General features: G+C 40.6%; 3 pseudogenes, besides 1 other annotated feature; 1 reads left to right on the forward strand and 2 right to left on the reverse strand.

Moving 5' to 3' along the window:
• On the reverse strand, window positions 1,475-1,911 carry CNN2P11 (calponin 2 pseudogene 11; annotated as a pseudogene).
• Window positions 10,675-11,789, reverse strand: GXYLT1P7 (GXYLT1 pseudogene 7; annotated as a pseudogene).
• CNN2P8 (calponin 2 pseudogene 8) lies at window positions 13,295-14,436 on the forward strand (annotated as a pseudogene).
• Window positions 21,109-21,309: a silencer, noted in NCBI's record as "peak3791 fragment used in MPRA reporter construct". NCBI's record gives its function as "represses an SCP1 promoter by STARR-seq MPRAs in K562 erythroleukemia cells {active_cell/tissue: K562}" and the evidence as "EXISTENCE:reporter gene assay evidence [ECO:0000049][PMID:32103011]".

Genomic DNA, 25,990 nt, shown 5'->3' on the forward strand with positions numbered 1-25,990 from the left:
TTTCCTAGGCAGCAAATGGGAGTTAAAGAAAGTCCATATTTCTATATTACAATAACTTACACTATAATACACAGACAACATACATTACTAAGCTATTTCAATTCATAGAAAATGTACATAAATATAGGTGAGCAAGGTGTAGGAGAAGCGTTAGTAATCAAGCTGAGTGTGATTGTGAGATTAAATCTAATATTATACAATTATTGTATAATTGTATCAGTTGACATATCTGTTGAAACAAAAGGTGGGAGAGTTTTGCATGCGCTTCCGAAATATACTGGATGATGTTAGGAGAGAGGCGGGTCAACATGGCTAGGCCAGAAGTGTTTACTAATTGAGGCTTAGGAAAGTTAAGTTCCTAACCAGAGACTGGGAGATAGAGGCGCTCAATTGTATAACATTTATATTTAATATATATTTAATAATATATAGTAAAGTATTAAAATGCCAATTTTAAGTCTTTTCACTTTCTTCTTAAAAACAGAGGTTTTATTGCGTTTGGTCCACAGTCGGTATTTCACATTATCTCATAGCGTAGGGCCCCTGGGGGGAGGGCTCTGCGCAGTACTTGGCGTGGCCTGGGGCCGGGGGAGATAGAGCAGTAGACCTGGTCAGGCCCGGAAGGGGAGAAGGAGGGCCGGGACTCCTTAAGACCTACTGAAGGGCTGGGCGCGGTGGCTCACGCCTGTCATCCCAACACTTTGGGAGGACGAAACAGGCGGATCACATGAGCGCAAGAGTTCCAAACCAGCCTGGCCAACATGGTGAAATCCCGTCTCTACTAAAAATACAAAAAATTAGCCAGGCGTGGTGGTGGGCGCCTGTAGTCCCAGCTATTCTGGAGGCTGAAGCAGGAGAATCGCTTGAGCCCGGTAGGCCGAGGTGCAGTGAGGCAAGATTACTCCAGTGCGCTTCAGCCTGGGCGACAGAGTGAGACTCCATCTCAAAAAAACAAAAACAAACAAAAAACCCTACTGAGGGCCACGGAGGTGGGGGAGCTAGGATGGAGATGGCTCAGGCTTAACCCTGACAACTCAAAATTCCACTACCTTGTACGGGCCTCAGTTTCCTCACGGGGCCCCAGCGTAGGTCTGAGGTCTGTTGGTCTGAGGGTCCTAGGGAAATCCAGCCACTCAGGAGCCTGAGATATTTTAGCATCGTGGCTGGGCCCCCTCTCCCAGGGGACTCATTTCCTAGCACCCTCTCCACTGTCCCCGCCCCATTCCTCGGGGAAAAAAATTTTTTTTTTATTTTGTTAATACTTCCTGAAACTTTTGCAGGTACAGAAACCACTTACTGATAGGCTGAGAAAAGGGGGAAGAGGAGAGGCAACCAGAAACCTTCAGGGACCCGTTCCCTCCATATCCAGGTCTCTTCTCTCCAGCACAGCTCAGCCCACAGCCTGGACATGCCAGCGGGGACCTTCACCCTACACGCATCAGGATACGGCCTTGATCCCTTCCGCCACAGCCCGGTGGCTCAGTCCTGAGAAGGAAGCAAAGCAAGGGGAGGTGGGGAAAAAACCCTGCTGCCTGATCCCACGCTGCCACTCAGACCCTCAGTTGACTGGCAGCACTGAACAGCTTAAAAAAAAAAAGATGAAAACACAGAAAAACCCAAACACCCACAAGGGGAGACCATGTGTGGAGAGAGCGTGCTGGGAGCCTCAGTAGCCGGTCTCCTCCTGGTGGTAAGGGAGATATTCAGGGGCCTCCCCTGGCCCCGGGAAGTCACCGGAGCCCGAGGGAGCGCCATGGGCCACTGGGCCTCCCCAGTAGTACTTGGGGTCGTATATCTGTGGGCCCAGGCCGAAGGCCTGGCTGCTCTGATGAGCGCCCTGACTGTATCCCATCTTCAGGGACATGGAGGAGTTGTCACACTTGTCGATTCCCAGCTTGGTGTCATAGATGTACTCATTCCTCCTATCTAGCTGTAAGTTTGTATTTGTTAACCAACCTCTCCCTGTCCTCTCCTCCCTGTTGCTCTCCCCAGCCTATAATAACCAGAATTCTACTCTCCACTTCCATGAGCTCAGTTCGTTTTTTTTTAGCTCCCACATATGAGTGAGAACATGCAAGATTTATAATTCTGTGCCTAGGTTATTTCACTTAATATAGTCTTCCAGCCTGATCCATGTTGCAGCCAAGGACAGGATTTCATTATTTTTACGGCTAAATAGTACTCCACTGTGAATAGATACTACATTTTTAATCTATTATGTTTTTGGACATTTAGGTTGATTCTAAACTTGGCTACTGTGAATAGTGGCTGCTATAAACATGAGGGTGCAGGTATCTCCTAAATATGCTGATTTCCTTTCCTGTAGATAAATGCCACGTAGTGGGACTGCTGGAAAAAGAAAAAATTCTTTTTCTTTAAACCTGATCATGTCTGTCCTCATAAATGCATGTTACACCCATCTCTCGCCATCAATGCCACCCCACCCCGAGCAGTTTTTCACTCTTCTCTTCCCTCGTTCTCTGCACCCCGTGTGCCTCCATACCCCAGCCTCAGGCCTTTCTATACCACTTCCCATTTGAGGCACTGTGTTTTTATTCAACTTTGGTACTGTCCTTTGAGAATCTTCAACGTGATTTGGATATGGCACTTTTTATCAGGATGTTACGTCAGAGTTGATAAATTCAAAGTAATATCGTTCTTTTTCCTGCCAAAGTCAGCTCCTCCTTTCCACTGCACTTTCCTGCCGATGCCACCACTCTTTCTCCTGTTGTGTAGGGAGAACACAGGTCACCTCCCTGGCATGAAATGTGCAGGTGCTCAATAAAGATTTGTTGAGTACATGAATGAATGTTCTTAGAGGACACCCTTGTACCTGGACTGGTCATTACATAGGTGTAAGTTTTATTCTCTAAAAGGGGTGAGTGAGAGTTTATACTAAGGTTGTAAGCATCCCTCAGGGCAGACTCTGGATATATAATACAGAACTGCTGAACTTGTGGAATGTGCATGTTTAATACTGAAAATATTTAATGTCACATGTGTAAGACTTTTGCCAACTGGAATCTGAACATCAACAACTTTGAAGGGCTTATTGTACCTTCTCAGCACAAAAATACTTTCTACGAATACACAAATTTATGTGCAAACGTATAGAAAATTGACTTTAAAGTGTACAACAAATTTATTTTAGCAATTGGGCCTGGGGCACCTAGAAGGAGAATGAGATTGGAGTGGTAGGGGTGGAACATTAGCTAATAATGCTTTATTTTATTAAAAGTAATTACTGAAAACCAATGCAATAAAATATTAACATGTTAATTGAAGGGATTGGGAGTATAGTGCTTATATTCTTCTTTACATGTTTTAATATCTTTAAAATTCCTTTTTTTGCTTTTCGTAAGGAAGTCACAGTTTAATTGGCAGTATATCTCTAATGGTACATGAAATAATGTCTGATTTCTAAACATTGACATTCTACATTAGATGAAATATATTAACTATTAAGCTTTGATATTACACTATAAAATTAATTGAAGAAAGCCACCCCTCTTTTTTCTTTTTTTTTTTAGTTATTATGTGCCCCATATGATCTGCAGGAATTTTTTTACTAGGCTTTGATCATTTTAAATAAAATCAGAATTTGTTCAAGTTCAGTTAACACTCAGCTGTGAACCCTATGGTACTGGGGTCTTTTTCAATGGGAGATCTCTAAGCATTATTCCAGATTATTCTATGCTAATTGATCTATTAATAATTTATAATATATTAGGAAATACATTAAATTTCTTAAAAAGAAAAAGGAAAGAAGTAAAGGGAAACATTTATTACAATTTAAATAAAGGAATTAGCAGTTGAAAACAAGAAAACCTGTTCTGAGCATCCATACTTCTCGGCAACCAAAACAATCAATGAAATCAATGCATTGGGTTAAACAGTTCCCAATTGCCCACTATGTTACCAGGAGAAAAAAACCCTTTATCATAGGGTTAAACTTCGGGAAGGATTTTCCATAAGGATCTTAATATAAAGGTTCTTGAATGACATAATGTATAAGGTCTTTGATAGCAACGCTACCCACAGGGCAAAGATGTTTTACTAGTCCTGTTGGTGTCTCAAATTGGCTCTCGGTAAGTAATCTGGACATATCGTGAAATTATAATTCTGTGTAGACAATTCGACTTACCAGGTTAGAGTGATGCAATCCAAATAGATGGCTTTCTTCTGATCTCGCTTAACAGAAATCTTGAAAAATCTGGAAAAGTAAATGTTTAATATACCCTCAGTTCTCAACCATTCTTCTTCCCCTGAAAGACAACATCACAGGCAGGACATCCTCCCAAGGGTACATGCAATATTATGTACAGTTCCCACGTGAGAAAGCACATCATAATCTTAGTGAGAATGATGTTCTCATAAGGTCAGTTATACTCAGTGTGCATAGTTGTCCAAGTGTGAGTATGAAACCAAGTCATTCGCAAGTACCACTAGTCTGATTATTAGTAATAATAATCCACTTGTGACATAGTTTTTCTTTGCTGAAATAAAATATTGTTTTGACACCATGGTTGAAATGTTGGTCTTAGGTCAATGCTCTCTATTATCTGTTGTTGTTGCCAAGCCTTTGAGAGGTGTTTTATGTGGGGCAAAATGTCCCTTCCTGTGTCTTTGGTCAAAGCAAAGGAGGAGTACAGATGACTGAGAGAGTGATCATGCTGCTGTGCTCACCTATGCGGTAGACCTTGTTCCTGGGTTGGGAGATGTTTTGTGATCAGGGTGCAGTAGAAAGAGCACACTAGTAGCAGTAAAGAGAGGTGACCCTGGCTGCAGTTCTGCCTCTAACTTCCTGAGTGACCTCAGGCTAGTCACGCAGTGACTGCTCCCCGCATTTCTTTTTGTAAGCTGCAAGGATTGAATCAGACAATAGCCTCTAAGTTTCTTCTGAACTCTCATACTCAGGGATGCCAACGATGTTGGTAATAAAATAATATGAACATGCCAAAAAAATAAAAATAAGGAAGAGAAGTAGGTATGTAACTTTACTCTGGGACTCCTATGGTATCTCACAACACCATGCTTCATGAACCCCAGAGAAAGCAAAAAATCCAGCTAGTGTTATAAATCCTGATCAGCTGAATTCTTTCACATGTTGCAGGCTGACTCAAGTTATTCATCGCAGAGGCCAGCAGCTCCCTGATGCATCCTTCCTTGTCTCTGGACAGGGTAAAAATAAGAAATTGGCCATTGTGAGACACTCTGAGTTTTGTGGGATTGAGCAGAGCATATTTTATATTCTTCTCTTGGAACTGCCTCTTGTTGGTAGTAAATGGTTGCCAGCACTGTTGTTTCTCAATAGACAAGTCCTAGAAATAAAGATAATTCAATTTTCATTCACTCTTAGCTCTTCTGCTACCAGTGTTCTTCTTTGACACTGACAGGGCTGCACCTGTCTTCCTGGCCTGACATAGCACTTGTGTGGTTTGCCACTTGCCAGAAAATCCATGAGTCATTCTAAAGACCTTTTGCCCAGCAGAGACCACTCCAATGAGCACAAATTGTCTAGTGGTTTTTTTTAGATGGTCTTCCTCCTTGGCTCATTTCTCTCCAAGAACGAAGATATCAAGGTGTTCATTTAACAGCAGCTCGTGAAAGACAATCCAGCTTGGTTTAAATCTTTAAAGGTTTTCATTATAATAGAAAATATAATAGCAAGAGTAGCATCCTCTGTTACATTGAAATTAAATTACAATTCTTTCACTGTTGGGGTGGCAAGTATAATTCCTATCACTTCTTTGGAAAGCAATACAACTTACTAAAGATCACCAAAATGTTTATACTTTTTGGAACCAAAAACCTCACTGAAAAAAATTTATTCCAGGAGTATGATTCAACAGAAAAAAAAAAACCAAGTAATATACATGTGCATGTTTCTCCCTGTGAAAACAACAGCACAGAATTTACTAGACAAGTTTTGAAACAGTTGGCTATGTGGTAACATGGAACAACATTCTCCTATAATGTTGAAGGATAAAAGCTTAGAGAATAGAGTATATTCTATGACTGCAACTATGAAAGAAAACATAGATCTACATAGGGACAAAGATGATAAACATGCGAAAACAGGTGTTAGATTCATGGATTATGTGTATTTTTCCTGCATTCAGATTTATCTTTATTATTGCTTTTTTATGTTCCCCTCTCCTCCCCCCAAAAAATCCTAAAGATCTTGAATATGCCCCTATCAGTATTTAACATTTCTTCTGAAACTGAGTCTAGATACTCAATCTGCTCCAGTTTTTTGAACAAGATGAGTAGCAAAGTTATTCTTTCCATTTTTTTGTTTGTTTTTTGTTTTTTTTACAGCCAGACACAGGTCTTGAATTGTACAGCTGACTTCTTTGTTTGGGATACGTTACTTTCAATCATTTTCCTGATCCTCTGCATGATTTACAGAAGCCGAGTGGGAGGCTTTAGCATTTCCATGGTCCTCCTTCTCCACTATCATGAGATTCTTAGGTGAATTTTTTTTAGAGCCATTATTCTCCATTTATAAAGGCAGAATGCAGTGGCAGGAGCTGGGACTCTGGGAAACCAACAGCCAAGAATTCAAACTACAGCATACTATGAAACACTCAGATAAGATGTCCCCATCATATTCTATTATTGGGCAAAATAAAATGTAAACCATGTGCTCAAAACAGCAAATATTGTGGGTGACAGTGACACTGGTATTCGGAAAGATGAAGAAATGCAATTAAGAAACCTGACAAAGAAGTAAACATGCCATGTAGCTTACAAAAGACCAGCCACATTGTGTGTATTTTAATATTGTTTAACAGTAACACCTAATAAAGAGAGCATCATGATTGTGTGAACTCATTTTCGGTCATAATGAATGCTACAAAATTAACCTCCCGAGTTTAAATAGGCTACAACGTCTTGGGAAATATGCAAGAAGAGTTATTTGATAAAGGTGACAGATTTTCACACCTGAAAATAATGTTTTTCTCCCAGCCTATCTTGATCAACAGCCAGCAGCAACACATTGCAGATATAATCTCAAGACCTTGTGGCATGTACTTCTCACTACATGCATAACTTACTATGGACAGAGGATCATGGAGATTTTGAATATAATTTCCCACATGACAGGAGATTAAATAGACCACATTGGAAGAAGCTAGGTCTCTGGAGAACCAAAAAGTAAACTTCAGCCAGTTCTGGAAGCAGATAAACAGCAAGAAATATACTTTCAGATGGGCTACTTTCTCAATAGTTCTTTCTCGCAAGAGCTCTAGGGAAAGTACGAGTTACTGGGTAAGAATGTAATAGAAAAGGGGCCAGCCTTGGAAAACTTTGCAATGGAAGAAAATCAGTGTCTCCTCATTTACACCTTTCTTTCTCCTCTTCCTTTGTAATGCCACCTTTCTTGGGATATTCCTTCCCCTAGAATACCCTGCCTGTCACCCCACGAGAACCTGCTCTTGAGACTGCATTTCTAATACCTATAATGAGATGTTATGTCAATGCCTTATCTTTCAGTGTGTGTATATACATATTAAGCTTTCTGTCTATGTTGTGCTTTCTCATGCAGAAATATCAGACATTAATGAACCAGTAAAGAAGATACTGAGGTGCAGAAGAGCTTTCCCAGTGTCCCAGGAGCCATTCTACACAGCATCCTACAGAATGACTGTGGATCTGCTGTGCTTAGTTTCTTTACTTGTGAAAACAGAGTAATAGTAGCACCTACCTCACAGGGTTGTTCTGAAGATTAGAGGGGTTCTTTCATGGGAAGTTCTAGAGCAGTGCTTGAGACATGGTAAGTGCTCAACATGTGTTCATTATTATTATTATCAATATTTGATGTAAAAGCCTTTCTGAAAGAAATCACACAAGAACATGATCAGTTAAAAGATATATATGAATGAAAGTATGTTTGGCGCTGTCACAACACAGAGTGGCATAATGGTTAGGAACATAGGCTTTGGAAGTCAACCTTCTGTGCTCAAAGCCTAGTGTCACCACACAGCCATTGTGGGACACTGGGCCTCAGATTTCTAGCCTGAAAAATGGGGGAACAATGTCTGTCATATAAAGTTGCTGTAAAGATCAAACTAGATAAGAAATGTAAAATACTCAACAGTGCCTGACACAAAATAAACACCAATTAATGGTAGCAGGAAGAAAAGAGCACTCTTCACCAACATTTTACCTTCAGAAATTGGTTAAGAAGAAATGAGTGCTTAGGAACCTTCCTGTTAGAGCTGGGAACACAAATAACCCCAAGATATGACCCAACTGAGAAATGAGACACGAGAGTCAGCAGGTCTCAGGACTAGAGAACATATCATAGATCTGGGGCCAAGGGGACCTCCCAATACCCCAGTCTTGAATTAGCCAGATGTGCCTTTCAGTCCTTGGCTGAGCTGGACTGAGGCCTCCTCCAAAGGGAGAAATAAATGCACATCCTGAAGAGAGCTGACTCTGAAAGAGAGAGAAACCCACAGAGGCTGAGTTTCACCAGTACAGCTACTTTCAAGCACATTCCTCAGTTAAGTCATTTCTCTTCCCAAGGGGAGGACTGAATGAACTTATGGTGAGAGGCCGAAAGCTTTTCTCCTTTATTTTTCCCTCATGGGAGAGGATGGAAGTGCTATCCTTTCTGTGGGAACCTGCAGACTATGGACGTTTCCCCCAGCAGTTGGCATTGACTGATTTATCTGCATGTTTCTCTGTTCACATCCTCTATATGAAGAATCGAAGTGGGAATAGCCCACCAAGTAATCTGATAGTACCAAAGCACTATTCTAGTTTTGTATAATTTTTAAGTCTCTTCTTTAAATTTTTTTTTTTTTGCAGACTCCATCCCAGACACAGCATACCAGAGTCTCCAAAGGGCTAAGCTCAGCAATCTATTCTCAAGCTCCCAACAGGAGTCTTATATAGTCAGGCAGGCAATGATCATATATGGGGACCATTAGAAATAATCTAATGCATACCCTCTGAACTTCAAATTTTTAGTATTCTCATTTTCTGCTCAAGCTCAATTTCAACACAGTTCACAGTTTCTCATATCCACCATGGCATTCTGCCAAGGAACTACAACTCGTGTTCTCTAAACCCATCTGTTCTAAGAATGCTGGGCTGGTTATCAATTTCTAATGTACCTGCTTAAACTTTCCTCTCTCAATGTGTCCCTGACTGAACTGCAGAAGACAGAACAACTGTACTAGCCATCTCTTTCTGCATATCCCATGTCCCCACAGAGGCCACTATGTCTTCATAAAGCTAACTGCCACGATTTTCACAAGTGATATTTTTCCTTCATGATTTTCCATTTTCTACTTGAGCATTAAAATACCAGGGAGAAAAGGAAGATAATCGTTTAGCAGCTGGGAAAACAAGATATGTGCCCCAGCACAGTACATGCTAAGTATTCAGAATGTATAGTTATAGTAGATAACTATAAATTAGATAACTATTAAAATAGTTATATTAGATAAGTAATATTTTTCTCATCTTCAAGACTTAAAAAGTTAACTGTTTTAAGTGGTATTCAAAAAAGGAAGGTACTCACTCACATCAACCCAATTAAAACCACATTTCTATAGCTGGATGTAACAATCTTAATCCAAATCATTCACCAAAGTTGTTTAACTTTCTTAAAGTAAGGCTCTAGACATTTGCTTCTTTACAAGTATCTTGCAAAGCCATTATGGGGTAGAAGAAAAGTTTAAATGCACCACATTTTCCTACTGCATTGTAACTAAAATTACTACTCACAGGACGTGTATAGCTTCTGCATTTTGGTCCATCACATTTTCCACCATCAAATGAGTGTACTCTTAAGGTTCTCACTTTATCATCAGCATAACATATTTTGCTTCCAGAATGCCCAGTAAAGCTGAAATTTTTCATTTAAAGTGATAAAAAAAGTTCCCCAGATATCTACTTAACAATTTTAGGTCTGAGTTTTAGCAAGACAGTTTAATGCATACACAATGAAAACACTATATTTCTCACTCTCTCTCACACGCACAGATTAAAACCCCAAAGTTTTCACTATATTTCCTCTTTCTTATACAGCTCAATTTTTAACATGCAGCTTCCTTATAATCTAAAAATAATTTTAATATGATTATCATAAAAAATATTTTAAAACAGAGATGAAATGTATAAAGGCAGATATAGATCATCCATCGTTACATTGGTTACATCACATTTCTTTAGAAACAGAACTGTTTCTACTCCTGTAGACAAAATTTTCTCTCACACATTTAAAGTGAGGTTAGTGCTGACATAAAATTATCGCTCTACTCACCGTCTGAGTGTTTGCACTGTGTTTGAAGTACGTTTTCTTCATTTTCACAGCCCCACCACTCTTGAGAGTATGAGTCAACAGAAGTTTGCAGGCTAAAACCATTCAATAATATTTTCATCAATACTGGAATGATAGTAAGTAACATTACACAACATCAGAGGCCAAAAATTTTTCTTTGTTGAAGCCCAAGATTTTAACTTATTCTTCATTACCTGAAAATACTGCTCATTTAACCTCTTTAGGAAAAAAAAAAATATTCTGTAGATGAATAATTCCTGCCTTAATGCTTCACCCAAGACAGTTCCTTCATACTTATCCTCCGACGCTTTGTTCTTTTCATCCATTTGATGTAGCAGGCAACAAGAATCACCTTTCCTTTGGTGATCTGACATAGCGATCTCTTATGTTTTTGCTAATTGTTTGATAAATATTTAGTAAAATTTTCCACGGTATGTATGCACTGTTTTTTGTAGTTCCAATTCTAAAGGTTTTATTCATGAATGAACATTGTCATCCTAAAAGAACAATTTCTCAGTGCTTCATAAACAGCTCTAAATGCTGGTTGCTTATCATCATAGTAAACACCTCTGTTCCCGTGAAAAATAAAGATTCCTTCTTCTGCTTCTTGGCAACTGCTTCCATATAGACAATGATCTGGATGACACTTCCATTGACACGGAAAGACAAAAAGCCTTTCTGGATTATGAAAAAACATGATATCCAACAGATCTTGATCGCCCATGTAATGTTTAACTTGTACATTTTAAGCCATGTCATAAGTATATCTCCTCATTGTAGTCACACAGTTGTCATATTATTCTTGAAATACTTCCTTCTCATTCAAGTCATGTTTGTCAACATAACTCCAGAGTTTACTCCAGCTTTTCCACAGTATGGATGCCTAGCAAAGCGACTATACCATCCTATTTGACGTTCCTTGTGTTCTGGGGCCATTGCAGAATTTGTGTGGAATTAAATTTCTTTAGTAAAGACCAAATATTATCAGCTGGTCTTTTAAAAAGGCTATCAGTGTGAGAGTCAACTTCTTTCAGGAATAACGGCAAGGACAATCTCTGCAAACCACATGGTTTAAAGAGTTTTTCCACTCTACTGCATTCTCACTTGGAAAGGTTATGGAGTATATTGTATAATTAAATATTTGTAGAAATGACCCCTGTCAAGCCTTCCTTTAAAGCTATGATGTAGTTGATCTTCAGCAAAAATCTGGAATTGAAGAGGTTTGATCCTGAAAATAATAGCTGACTTCAACATCGTCATAGTTTCTTCCAATCTTTCACCTAGATGCATTTTCTCAACAGGCTGTATTTTCAGACTACACCTGTCCCACCTGCCGGGATGCGCAGCGGGACCAGCGCTGCCCGCGCCTCTCACCGCACTGCATCCGCCTCCCGCCAGCCAGGAAGCCACTGCGGCCTGAGGCTTCCCGCCACCACCGCGCGCGCCTTCCTCCGGGGACATGGGGAGCTGGCTGAAGGCGTAAAGGAGCGAGCAGAAGCCTCAGGCCAGACACAGCGCCACCACGCGCGGTAGCGCCGCATGGCCCCAGCCGCGTTCCTCGGTCTCCGTCTCCGCCGCGCCCGCCTGGCGAACTGGAGCACAGGGACTATAGTTCTGGAAATTTATCCTTTTTCTCTCCATGGATTCAGCAGCAGTGTCTAAAAGAAAAAAATTCATCCATCAATCATTTATATATGTTTTAATATAAAGATAAAACACTGCGAACCAGTGGAACTGGATAGAAAGTAATTCAGTTTTACAGAACACATCTGTTTTTCAGGCACTTACTTTTCTTAAACATAAAAGAGCAATATATATTTCTGTGGAATTCCCCTTTAACTTAAGAATTCATTATCAGCCAATTAGTTTAACGAGGCTGTTTTGTTAGAGGCTGTGGTTGCATTCAAAAATTAGAATAGGAACAACGACTTGTAAAAATTCAACACTTAATTTTATTTTTGAGACAGAGTCTCACTGTGTTGTCCAGGCTGGAGTGCAGTGGCTTGATCTCAGCTCACTGCAACATCTGCCTCCAGGGTTCAAGCCATTCTCCTGCCTCAGCCTCCCGAGTAGCTGGGATTACAGATTTGTGCCACCATACCTGGCTAATTTTTGTATTTTTAGTAGAGAAGGGGTTTCACCATGTTGGCCAGGCTGGTCTCGAACTCAACTTCAGGCGATCCTCCCCCCTCAGCCTCCCAAAGTGCTGGGAGTACAGGCGTGATTTAACATTTTAACATTTTAAACTACCACTTACTATATTCACTGTGTCTGTGATTTAACATATATTTTTCAGTGGCCACAAAATTATAAAATGGATACAGAATAGTCTCTTCAAAAAATTAAGGAAGTTCTTTCTTTTTCTTTTTTTTTTTTTTTTTTGTGTGTGTTTGAGACGGAGTCTTGCTCTGTCGCCCAGGCTAGAGTGCAGTGGCCCGATCTTGGCTCACTGCAACCTCTGCCTCCCGGGTTTAAGGAATTCTCTGCTTCAGCCTCCCGAGTAGCTGGGATTACAGGCGCCCGCCACCACACCCAGCTTATTTTTTTGTGTTTTTAGTAGAGACGAAGTTTCACCATCTTGGCCAGACTGGTCTTGAATTCCTGACCTCATGATCAGCCCGCCTCGGCCTCCCAAAGTGCTGGGATTACAGGCGTGAGCCACAGCGCCCGGCCGGAAGTTCTTTCTTCTTAAAAGGATTATAAATATAATTCGTACTGGCATGACACTTTTACTAATATAGATTGACTTTTTGCTTCAAATAACCCATTCGTACATCAAAACTAATTTTGGTCAGTATGTGTGTGTGTGGATGTATGTGTGTGTGGATGTGTGGATGTAAATGGCAGTAAAAGGTAAAAGGGAAGGTGGAAAAAAGGGAGATGGTCTAACATTTTCCACACATTTTTACACATTTTTTAAATACACAAAAGATATGTAGTAAAACAATGGTGTGGTGAAAACAAAATATTGCGAACTAGAAAAAAGACTTAGCTTCCGGTCCTGTGGGATCCGCCCCGCGGTGGCGCCCTCCAGCCGTAAGCTCCACGCGTTCAACAAGGGCCCCTCCTACAGGCTCTTGGCGGACGTCCAGAACAGGCTTCTGTTCAAATATGACTCCCAGAAGGAGGCAGAGCTCCGCAGCTGGATCAAGGGATTCACTGGCCTCTCCATCCGCCCCGACTTCCAGAAGGGCCTGAAGGACGGGATTATTTTATGCACACTCGTGAACAAACTGCAGCCGGGCTCAGTCCCCAAGATCAACGGCTTCCGTGTAGAACTGGCACCAGCTAGAAAACCTCTCCAACATCCTCAAGGCAATGGTCAGCTACGGCATGATCCCGTGGACCTATTTGAGGCCAACGACCTGTTTGAGAGTGGGAACAATATGCAGGTGCGGGTGTCTCTTCTCGCCCTGGCAGGGAAGGCCAAGACTAAGGGGCTGCAGAGCGGGGTGGACATCCGTGACAAGTACTCAGAGAAGCAGAACTTCAACGACACCACCATGAAGGCCAGGCTGTGCGTCATCCGGCTGCAGATTACCAACAAATGTGCCAGCCAGTCAGGCATGACCGCATACGTCACGAGGAGGCATCTCTACGACCCCAAGAACCGCATCCTGCCCCCCATGGACAACTCGACCATCAGCCTCCGGATGGGTACAAACAAGTGCGCCAGCCAGGTGGGCATGACGGCTCCCGGGAACCAGTGGCACATCTATGACACCAAGTTGGGAATCGACAAGTGTGAGAACTCCTCCATGTCCCTGAAGATGGGCTACACGCAGGTCGCCAATCACAGCAGACAGGTCTTTGGCCTAGGCCGGCAAATATATGAACCCAAGTACCAGCCGGGTGGCCCAGTGGCCCACGGGGCTCCCTCCGCCGGCAACTGCCCAGGGCCAGGGGAGGCCCCTTAGTACCAGGAGGAGACCAGCTACTGAGGCTCCCAGCACGCTCTCTCCACACATGGTCTCCCCGTCTGGGTGTTGGGTTTTTCTGTGTTTTCATCTTTTTTTTTTTTAACCTGTTCAGTGCTGCCAGTCAACCGAGGGTCTGTGAGCGGCAGCGTGGGATCAGGCAGCAGGGTTTTTTCCCCCACCTCCCCTTGCTTTGGTTCCTTCGCAGGACTGAGCCACCGGGCTGTGGGGGAAGGGATCAAGGCCGTATCCTGATGCGTGTAGGGTGAAGGTCCCCGCTGGCACTTCCAGGCTGTGGGCTGAGCTGTGCTGGGGAGAAGAGACCTGGGCATGGAGGGAACCAGTCCCTGAAGATTTCTGGTTGCCTCTCCTCTTCCCCTTTTTGTCAGCCGATCAGTTTGTGGTTTCTGTACCTGCAAAAGTTTCAGGAAGTATTAACAAAAGAAAGAAAATTTTTTTCTTCTCCGAGGAATGGGGCGGAGACAGTGGAGAGGGTGCTGGGAAATGAGTTCCCTGGGAGAGGGGGCCCAGCCACGATGCTAAAATATCTCAGGCTCCTGAGTGGCTGGATTTCCCTAGGACCCTCAGACCAACAGACCTCAGACCCTCAGACCTATGCTGGGGCCCGGTGAGGAAACTGAGACCCGTACAAGTTAGTGGAATTCTGAGTTGCCAGGATTAAGCCTGACCCCTCTCCATCCTAGCTCCCCCACCTCCGTGGCCCTCAGTAGGGTTTTTTGTTTGTTTTTATTTTTGTTTTTTTTGAGATGTAGTCTCACTCTGTCGCCCAGGCTGAAGCGCACTGGAGTAATCTCGCCTCACTGCACCTCGGCCTCCCAGCTTAAGCGATTCTCCTGCCTCAGCCTCCAGAGTAGCTGGGACTACAGGCACCCACCACCACGCCTGCCTAATTTTTTGTATTTTTAGTAGAGATGGGATTTCACTATGTTGGCCAGGCTGGTCGGGAACTCTTTCCCTCATGTGATCCGCCTGTTTCGTCCTCCCAAAGTGTTGGGATGACAGGCGTGAGCCACCGCGCCCAGGCCCTCAGTAGGTCTTAAGGAGCCCCGGCCCTCCTTCTCCCCTTCCGGGCCTGACCAGGTCTACTGCTCTATCTCCCCCGGCCCCAGGCCACGCCAAGTACTGCACAGAGCCCTCCCCCCAGGAGCCCTGCACTATGAGATAATGTGAAATACCGACTGTGGACCAAACGCAATAAAACCTCTGTTTTTAAGAAGAAAATGAAAAGACTTAAAACTGGCATTTTAAGACTTTATTATATATTATTAAATATATATTAAATATAAATGTTATACACTTTAGCGCCTCTATCTCCCGGTCTCTGATTAGGAGCTTAACTTTCCTAAGCCTCAATTAGTAAACACTTCTGGCCTAGCCACGTTGACCCGCCTCTCTCCTAACATCATCCATTACATTTCAGAAGCGCATGCAAAACTCTCCCACCTTCTGTTTCAACAGATATGTCAACTGATACAATTATACAATAATTGTATAAGATAATATTAGATTTAATCTCACAATCACACTCAGCTTGATTACTAACCCTTCTCTTACATCTTGCTCACCTAAATTTATCTACATTTTCTGTGAATTGAAATAGCTTAGAAATGTATGCCATCTGTGTATTATAGTGTAAGTTATTGTAATATAGAAATATGGACTTTCTTTAACTCCCATTTGCTGCCTAGGAAATACCAATATTTTTTGAGCATGGCAAGTGTTTCCAAGCATTCAGAAGTGGAGAGTGTAGGAAATCCACTGCAGAATGAGGTCTGCTTGTCATCCTCTCAGTCTCAACTGCTCTCCCTCCTTCATCTCTCTCTGTTTCATTGATGAGTATAGAAGATCAGGCATTTTTATATGAAATGAAAATTGATGGAACTAAGGTGTTGATTTGCATATCCAACCAACGATTTATTGAGTGTCCATTACAAGTTAAATTGTGTTGTAGAGAACAGCTCAGGAAACGAATGCTTGACATTGATGTTCATAACAGAAATACAAACATGCCATTAAAAAATCAGACCTCTTATGAGCATCCAGATTCTCATGTAAATTTTGTGAAGCTCTTTCAAGATAAGAATGTAAAATTTCAAAAAAAACATTTTCACAAGTCATTCTTGAGACAGAAAAGTGGAAATAGAAGATCATATATGGTTGTTTCACTAGCTCAAAACTTAAGTACAGTTTTTAGTCAATTGAGAGCCATATCATTCTTATTTTATATGCTGTTATTCATTAGAAACTACAAATTTTAAAAAATATTCGTCTCATTCTACGAATCAATCTAAACATTTCATTCATTTGGTTATATTTCTTCATTTTACCTGGTCTTGAATACTTCTTTCCTGCCCAGCATTAAATTTAATTAATGTCTAATTTGTTTACTTGGTTTAGTTACTTTTGGCCACGTTCAGTACACTTGTTATGAAGCAGGCATGTAGGAATGTTGACAAGTTTATGGTCCTCACTCTTCCAAATCCCAAATGGCAGCACCCCAACAGACACATACCACAATGTAAACTCATACACATACACACACACACAATCCACACCCACCCATACTCACCCACCTACACACAGACACACACACACACACACACACACTCCAGTGGACCAACACATGAAACACTCCACAGGCAAAGACATTATCCATCAGTGCACTACACACTTCTGTAAATTATCAGGACTCCTCAATTGAGGTGAGTCTACAGAGATTTCAAAGGCTATTTGAGTGCTAAGCTATCTAACTACTGGTTGGACACTATTTAAATAATGCGTTAAACACAACTCTTGAGGCTCTGAAGAATTTCTATGCTTTCCAATGAACCAGGAGTTACAAGGTCCTGAAAACCACAAGTGTGTTACATCCTTTAATAGATAAAGCAAAGCTGATATTAATGTGAATATACTTTATATTTACTTCTATTCGTGTTAATTTTTCTTTGCCTGTAATATACATTTTCATATAACGGGGAATAAGAAACATCTTAGGAAAAAGAAAACAAAAAATAAAATTTTGCTGTTTACACTGTGCCTTGGTCCAGTAACCCTGCACTGCACATATACACTTTAAATTGGTGTCTTGGGGAACCACTTCGGTATTTCATTTTAATAGTGCATCCTGGAGAATATATTTGAGTGGATCACATATTACAACTGATTTAAATTTTGACCCATATAGAAATAAGTTTTCAAAAATATGTCTGAAGCCTGGATACTGTAAAAATGTTTATCATCATAGAAAAATAAAAGGTTAGCCATTAGTTACTCAGAAATTGTTCAGTAAATCTAAGACAACTTAGACATAAATAGTTATGAGTGAATATAGTTCATTATTAATGTTTGTAAAAATTAATGCTGTCTTTTATGGTTGAGTAAAACTAGAAATGTAACTTAATTTGATAGAGATAAATGACATAAACTTTACATAAAGCAAGAGAATAATAGATGTGTAAAAATGTTTTATAGATAAGATTTTAAGATGAAATTGTGCTAAATAACATGAATCAAATGTGTTTTGCATACTACATCTGCAGCTACAACATCACAGCCTTTTAAGTATTTCATTAACTTCAAAATGTAACTTATTGCTGAAACAATATGATTTAATGAATTGAGATAACGGGTAATGATTGGTGTCAGCTGAAAGCAATGCTACACTTTTAAAGTTAGATTTCTTTGTGTATTAATACAAACACCAGAGAAGATGGTCAATAAAGTAATTACTGTACAATGACTATCATAATACTTAAACCTGGAAGAAAATCAGTAAATGTTAAGTGAATAGAATTGGTGAATTGCTTCCATTTTATACAATTTTTTGTTCATTTTAGGGCTTACCAAAACTTGCAGCTCTGAATAAGGCCCAATTATTTACTCCTTCAAATAAAACAAGGCTGCAAGAATAAGTGTGAATGCTTTGTTTTGTTTTGTTTTTCACTGAAATATTCCAGTCTGTACCTGCTCCAAATCACACTGATCTTTCTAGAGTCTGATACAGGTCCTGGTCTCAAGGCCAGTGTTACCATAATCACCATCTTTTGTGCTTCAAGGTTGAGCCCTCCTAATTTACCTGCATGAAATTGGAAAAGTCCCATTTCATACTTTAAGCAACCCAGATGTCTCTTTCACTGAAAGTGGTATTCTTCTTGTGTGTGTGTTTTTTTTTTGCAGCAAATGATGTCAACTTCTACCTACACCTGACATCTCAATTAACTTTTGACATTTTCTTCTTCACATTTCCATTTCAAATCACCAAGTATTGTCAGATTTTACCTTCTCTCTATTTCTTGAATGAATTTTTCTCTTTCTATCTTCATTGCCATCATGGATTCCAGCCCATCACTCTCTCACCTGGGCTATGGTGAGAACCTCTAAAGTGCTCTCCCTGATTCTCTCTCCAAAAATGGTTCTGTGCTATATCTGGAATGATTACTTGAAATGCAAATACAATTTGCATTGTAAATTGCTTTGCTTAAAAACTCCCAAAGACTTCACGTTAGTACTAGGATAAATAGCAAGAGTCCAAAAATGGGTTCAAGCAGTACAAAATTTGTTTCCTTTCTCTTTCCCCCCTCTTGTGGCATGAACATTGTTGAACTAAATGATTCAGATATATTTCTTCTTGTCTCCTGGACTTTGGTCTTCTTATTCATATGCTTTTCCCACTACCATCCCAGGTTTATATAATTAGCTCTTACTGGGTTTTTTTTTTGTTTGTTTTTTTGAGATGGAGTCTTGCTCTGTTGCCCAGGCTGGAGTGCAGTGGTGTGATCTCAGCTCACTACAAGCTCCATCTCCCAGGTTCATGCCATTCTCCTGCCTTAGCCTCCAAAGTAGCTGGGACTACAGGCACCTGCCACCTCACCTGGCTAATTTTTTTTTTTTTTTGTATTTTTAGTAGAGACGGGGTTTCATGGTGTTAGCCAGGATGGTCTCGATCTCCTGACCTCGTGATTCACCTGCCTCAGCCTCCCAAAGTGCTGGGATTACAGGTGTGAGCCACCACATCCAGCCAGCTCTTACTCTTATTTTAGTTTGCTCTTCATCTTCCCCACGAAGGGAAGCCTTACCTGATATCCCTAAATATGAAAGGCTTTCATAACAGTGCATACCTTTTCTCTGTTATTTATAATATTGTTTTTAGGTTTTTATATTTTTATTACTATTTATAATAGATACATCTGAGCATGCTCTTTGATAATAAGTCTAATAAAGTTTTGATGCATTTAGTAATTCAGTACAAAATTGTTTTCCATAAGCCATGATTCTAGAGATTGAGGGGAAAGTGCAGTGGTAATCTGTCCCAAGTGGAAGGACAAATAGCCAAGCAATGTTGACCTACCCATTCATCTCTCAAAAACAGGGTTAAGATATTGATTCTCCTGTTTTCAGGATGAAGCAGGGACAGGGAGTTTCTTGTTATCCTCTCAACTCACTCTTTTTATGGAAAAAGTAATTAATCTGATAAATGACCCAAAAGATTTTGATGTTTAAGGTGGTGATTCCAAGAAGTTGAAATAAAAAGACTTCAGAGCCCATCTCTCTCAATCACTATCTTTGGTCTCTTGAGGATGCTTGTGCACAAAATAGGGAGCACCTATGTAAGAGCTGCATAGGCTGGCTCAGTCCGGCTACTGGTTTCATAAATCCAACTTTTCCAAGCATGATGGAATGTCAGAATCCCGTGAGCCAAAAGTTTTATGATGAGAGAGGAAGAATGATATTTTACTCCCCAACCTAATTTTAAAATTAAATTTTAAACAAAGTTAATAAAGTTAACAAACTTGAATACACACACACCCATGCATATACCCATGCACACGCACACAGGATTCTTGCATTCTTTTTTTGTTTAATCATTCATGAGAAATGGTTGGATTTTGTATTTTCTATCTACCAATACTTGCGCAAACTCTGGCTGCAAAACTTTTGTTGGTCAAACATTAGCATTTGGGAAACCACATCCCTGCTGAGAGATAGAAGATCTTGATACAGCCTTAACTACATCATCAGTAGACATGGGACTGTTTTTAACCAGAAGGAGGCAAATGGCTTCCAGATGGTTGTGTAGCTGGTTTTAACAGTAGCCTGCAGTGGCTTTTTGACAGACATAAACCTTACTAGTTATTATTAGGCTTCAGAGCATTAGTATGAAGTTTTAATTTGCTTATGTTAGGGATGAGAAGGTAGCACTATCCTAGATGCCCTAAATATTGCTCCTTGTCACTTTTCCCCCACTGAATTCAGAGGTAATCTGGGGACTGTGTCTAAAATGGTCTTATATTCATGTGTTTGCCATGGGTTTCTGAAGCTTTCATTCTGAACATGGTCTCAACTTGGCTCTTGAGGACTAATTTCATTACACATGATCATAGGCATAAATTTAAATTTGTGGAGAATTGTTTTGTACATCCCACATGAAGGGGTGACCTGCCCCTCCACACCTGTGGGTGTTTCTCATTGGGTGGGATGAGAGGCTGAGAAAAGAAAGAGACACAGAGACAAAGTATAGAGAAAGAAACATGGGCCCAGGGTACCGGCACTCAGCATATGGAGGATCCACGCTGGCACTGGTCTCTGAGTTCCCTCAGTATTTATTGATCATTATCTCTACCATCTCAGAGAGGGGGATGTGGCAGGGCAATAGGGTAATAGTGGGGAGAGGGTCAGCAGGAAAACATGTGAACAAATGTCTGTGTGCCATAAACAAGGTTAGAAAAGGTGCTGTGCTTTGAGGTGCACATACATAAACATCTCGGTGCATTAAAGAGCAGTATTGCGGCCAGCATGTCTCACCTCCAGCCTTAAGGCGGTTTTCTCCTTATCTCAGTTGATGGAACATACAATCAGGTTTTACACTGAGACATTCCATTGCCCAGGGATGAGCAGGAGACAGATGCCTTCCTCTTATCTCAACTGCAAAGAGGCCTTCCTCTTTTACTAATCCTCCTCAGCACAGACCCTTTATGGGTGTCTGGCTGGGGGATGGTCAGGTCTTTCCCTTCCCATGAGGCCATATCTCAGACTATCACTTGGGGAGAAATTTTGGACAATACCTGGCTTTCCTAGGCAGAGGTCCCTGCAGCCTTCCGCAGTGTATTGTGTCCCTGGGTACTTGAGATTAGAGAGTGGTGATGACTTTTAACAAGCAAACTGCCTTCAAGCACTTGTTTAACAAAGCACATCCTGCATAGCCCTAAATCCATTAAACCTTGAGTCAACACAGTGCATGTCTCTGCCAGCACAGGGTTGGGGGTAGGGTTACAGATTAACAGCATCTCAAGGTAGAAGAATTTTTCTTAATACAGAACAAAATGGAGTCTCTTGTGTCTACTTCTTTCTACACAGACACAGTAACAGTCTGATCTCTCTTTCTTTTCCCCACACCACAGAATCTGGATTCACTACCAAGAGACTGTAGCATTTATCAAAAAGAAGATAAAGAGAAATAAGAGTTCTTGTTGTCTAGGGAATATATCATCTTCTTTGGGTAATGCCTATTAATGCTCCTCAAAATAGCTAGAGCATTCAAGCTTTGTAACGAGTTCACAATGAGAGAAGTAGCTTCTACTAGAAATTAAATATGTTACTTCTTTCAATGAGTAACTATTGCTACAAGAATATGTTTGCTGAATAAATTAGCACATTTATTGACATAATTGATTTGCATACTGTGGCAGCACTTCATGGACCAAACCCTAAGTCCCATGAAAAATTGAATAGAATTATTTGACAGTGAAGTATCATTGGAAAAGCCTGGCTCTAGTTCTCAGGAAGCAATCTGGTTGATTATGTGTTTTCAGTGTGTAGTCATAATACAACTGTATATCACTAGTGTACATCAGACACTTTGTGCACTCTACATATATTTTCTCATTTGATCCTTCAATACATGCATAAGAGAAGAAATAGACGTGGATTTAATTGCTCCGCTAGGGTCAAAGACCAAAAACCTCATTACAATGCCAATGTTAGAAATTCTTATTCCAATTAAAATAAAGTTACCAAAGACAATTGTTCCTGCCATAATGAGAAAATATTGGATGAACTTTAAAAAATTATTATTTTTTTGTTTAAAGCCATCAAAAAATTGTGGGCCTAAAGTTTCAATGAACTAAATTTCAGAGAAAAACAAGCCCTTCCTTGGTGATCACAGATTAGCAGCAGAGCCCATCTCTGAGGACATTTGCTGGATCTGGGAACTTGAGTAGGTAGAAGAACAAGCCTACAATGTGCAGAGACAGCTGGAACACTGGGAATAAGCAAAATAATCTACAGGGAACTGCAAGAGGGACTGAAAACTAGAAAGATCACGTGTTCTCCTCACACTTACTTATTTCCACTTAAGAGACAGGGTCTCATTCTGTCACCCAGGCTATGGTGCAGTGGAATAACCATTGTTCACTGCAGCCTCAAACTCCTCCCTCAGGTGATCCTCCTGCTTCAGCCTCTCCAGTACATGGAACTACAGGTGCACGACATCATGCTTGGCTAATTTTTAATTTTTTTGTGTGGACACAAAAGCCGACTAGGTTGCCCAGGCTGGTCTAGAACTCTTGGCCTCAAGTGTTCTTCCTGCCTTGACCCCCACCCTCTCCAATCAAGTACTGGGATTACAGGTGTGAGTCACCACATCTGGCCTCCCCTAGCATTTAGATACTAAACTGTTGGAAAAATGAGTAAAAAATAAATATAAGTAGCATTTTGAGTATTTCTTCCCATACACCCATGGATTGTTTAGTGTATCTTACTACTTCACAAAGGAGACCATTCCTGCATCAAACTATATAAACTAAGTATTTAAATTTGATTTTTGCCCTACAATAAGCTCTATGCCAGAGCTCATTACATTTGAATTTGACAATCTGTTTTTATACCACAGTTGCAAAAAATTAATCACATTCTTTACTTCATGAGACATTATCATTATTGTTTCCTACAAGTTTCTCTGGTTTTACTTGTTTCATTTTTTTATTCCTTATCCCTTGTCAAAGACAGGCATGCTAATGTGTTTGACATAGGTTCTTTACTCTTAAAGAATTCTTACAAGATAAGAAGGTTGTTTTCTGAGTGTGTGTATGTGTATATACATGAGTGTATACATTTTGCTTAAAGAGTATTGTGCTATAAATCTAATTTTATTTCTAATTTTTTCACAGAGCATAACATCCTTCATACATTCCCACATTGCTGTAGGTTATTTTTGGTTGTTTATTCCCCTGTAGCTGCTGCATAGTTTTCAATAAAATGAATCAACCACATTTTCCCTATCCAGTCTTGCAGTAGAATTCACACTGATATCCTGCTACTGAAATATTCACTTCCTTATGGTATCCTTATGAAAACACTGTTTGGTCATGTGTCACAGTTTGTCAGGGGCTGTGTTAGTCTCTTTGTATCGCTAAGAAGACATACCCAATGCTGGGTAATTTATTTATTTATTTTTTAATAAAAGAGGTTTATCTTGGTTCAGTGTTCTGCAGACTGCACAGGAAGCAATGGCATCTGCTCTGAGTGAGGCCTCAAGAAGCTTACAATCATGGCAGAAGGTGAAGGGGAGCCAGTGTGTCACATTGTCAGAGAGGGAGTAAGAGAGAGAAGGGGGCAGTCCCAGGCTGTTTCTAACAATCAGATCTCTATGAACTCACTGAGAAGAACTCACTCAAGTGGATTGTGCTAAACCAAGCTTGTCCAACCTGCAGCCTGTGGGCTGAATGCAGGTCAGAACAGCTTTGAATGTGGCCCAAATTTGTCAACTTTGTTAAAACATAAGAGTGTGTGTGTGTGTGTGTGTGTGTGTTTAGCTCATCAGCTATTTTTAGTGTATTTTATGTGTGGCCCAAGAAAATTCTTCTTCCATTGTGGTCCAGGGAAGCCAAAAGGTTGGACATTCCTGTGCTAAACTATTCATAAGGGATCCACCCCATGATCCAATACCTCTCACTGGGCCCCACCTCCAACATGGGGGATCACATTTCAGCATGAGATTTGGAGGGGACACACATCCAAACTATATCAGGGATATGTACCCATCATCGAGACAGGTTGTAGAGTATGCATACTTTCAAATGGGTCCTGTCATGTTATTTTCTGAAATGGTTAATACCATTTAATTTCCCATCCATTGCCTATAAAGGTTGTTTTCCTCATATCCTCATCACTCAATGTTACCTAGGATTCTTATATTTTCTAAGCAAGTGGTGAAAATACAGATCTCATTTTATTTGTGTATATTTGCATTTGTCAGATTGTTAATAATGTATTGGAATTTTTTGGCTCATTTTTCTATTGAGTTTCCTATCTTCTTTGTTCATCTGAATATCAATCATATTCACTTTGCCCTAAGCAGTGTCAACATTTTCTATTACTCTGTCATATATCTGATAACTTTGTATGCCAGCCTTTATTGAAATGAGTCTATGATTTTTCTACTTCTTCTAAAGTTTATGTATTTAATTAAATTTGTTGGTTTAGTATATCTTTAATTAAACTGTAACAACAGCCCCAAATCTATGTTTTGTTGGGTTCATTCAGATTTAGAATTCAGATAACTTTTTGGAGGATAAATTCTTTGTATCATAATGAAGAATGGCTATCATAATGCAATATGATTATTTCTGCCAACGCTTATTGTTTCATAGTCTACTTTGTTTATGTGGTCAGGAGGAAAAGACCTGAATGCCCTTGACCAACTCAGCTTTCTGTATCTCCTAATTCTCAGGATAATTTTAGAATGTTCCAAGAAGACAATATCCTGAGATGAGTAGAAACTGTCTGGGACAGTCTGGAATCTGTCCTTGTTGTTCCTAGAACAGGATATCCCTGCAACTCTTAAACTCAGAGAGCCAAGGTGCACATGGGGTGTGAAACCTAGGGTGGAGCACTCAGGGGTTCCTCAGCGCAGTACACAGTGGGGCATGTGCAGAGGAGACTCCGTCAACCCTGGGCAACTTTTCTGACCTCAAGGGTCAGACTTGCCATAGAACTTAGGCTTTTGCTGATTCTTCCTGCTCCTCTGTGAGTAATAAATTTGGTTTGCCTGACTTACTGTGTCAGCATTCTTGTTTCTGGCAGCTTGGTTTACATAAAAAACCTCCTGCTAGACCTATGAATCTATGCAATGTGGAAGTGTCATAGAGGTAAATAAGCAACTTAACTGAGTTGAAAACTAACATACATAACATGGGGCCACTGCCCCATGGGGCAAAATGATCCTGCCAAAAAATCTCATGTGACCATTCCAGACATACTGTGGAAGAAGAAGGATGTGGAAACTCAGAGAGATCTGAAGATCTTATCCAAGCCAACAGGAGGCTAATAAAGCAAGAGAATTCCACTGTACTCTGATTCAAGAGTACAAGCTTCATCTCAGAGAAGAGCAATGCAATGGCCCCAGCGATCAGACCAGAGAGACCCTCTGCCACAGAGAAAGCAGAGGTCTAGAGAACAGCATGAAGACAGTAAGAGACTTCAGATTCACTATCCCTTTGCCTTGAGGCCACAGAAAGCCCAAAGCATCTGAACATCTTCCTAGAGGCATTTAACTAAAAGAGAGCTATTGAAACTTGAAGAAAAATGTGAATCAAGAAGCTAAATTTAAAGATATGCTACTTTCTCCAACCCTCCCTGACCAATTAACCATAGGATGAGTCCAGTGAGATAAAGCATATCATTTATTCAAAATACAAAAGTTATATGTTCTTTATGTGAGCAGAAATATGTTCTAACTTTACTCAATAAATGTATT

This window comes from Homo sapiens, chromosome 2, assembly GCF_000001405.40.
Source record: "Homo sapiens chromosome 2, GRCh38.p14 Primary Assembly".
NCBI classification, from domain to species: Eukaryota; Metazoa; Chordata; class Mammalia; order Primates; family Hominidae; genus Homo; species Homo sapiens.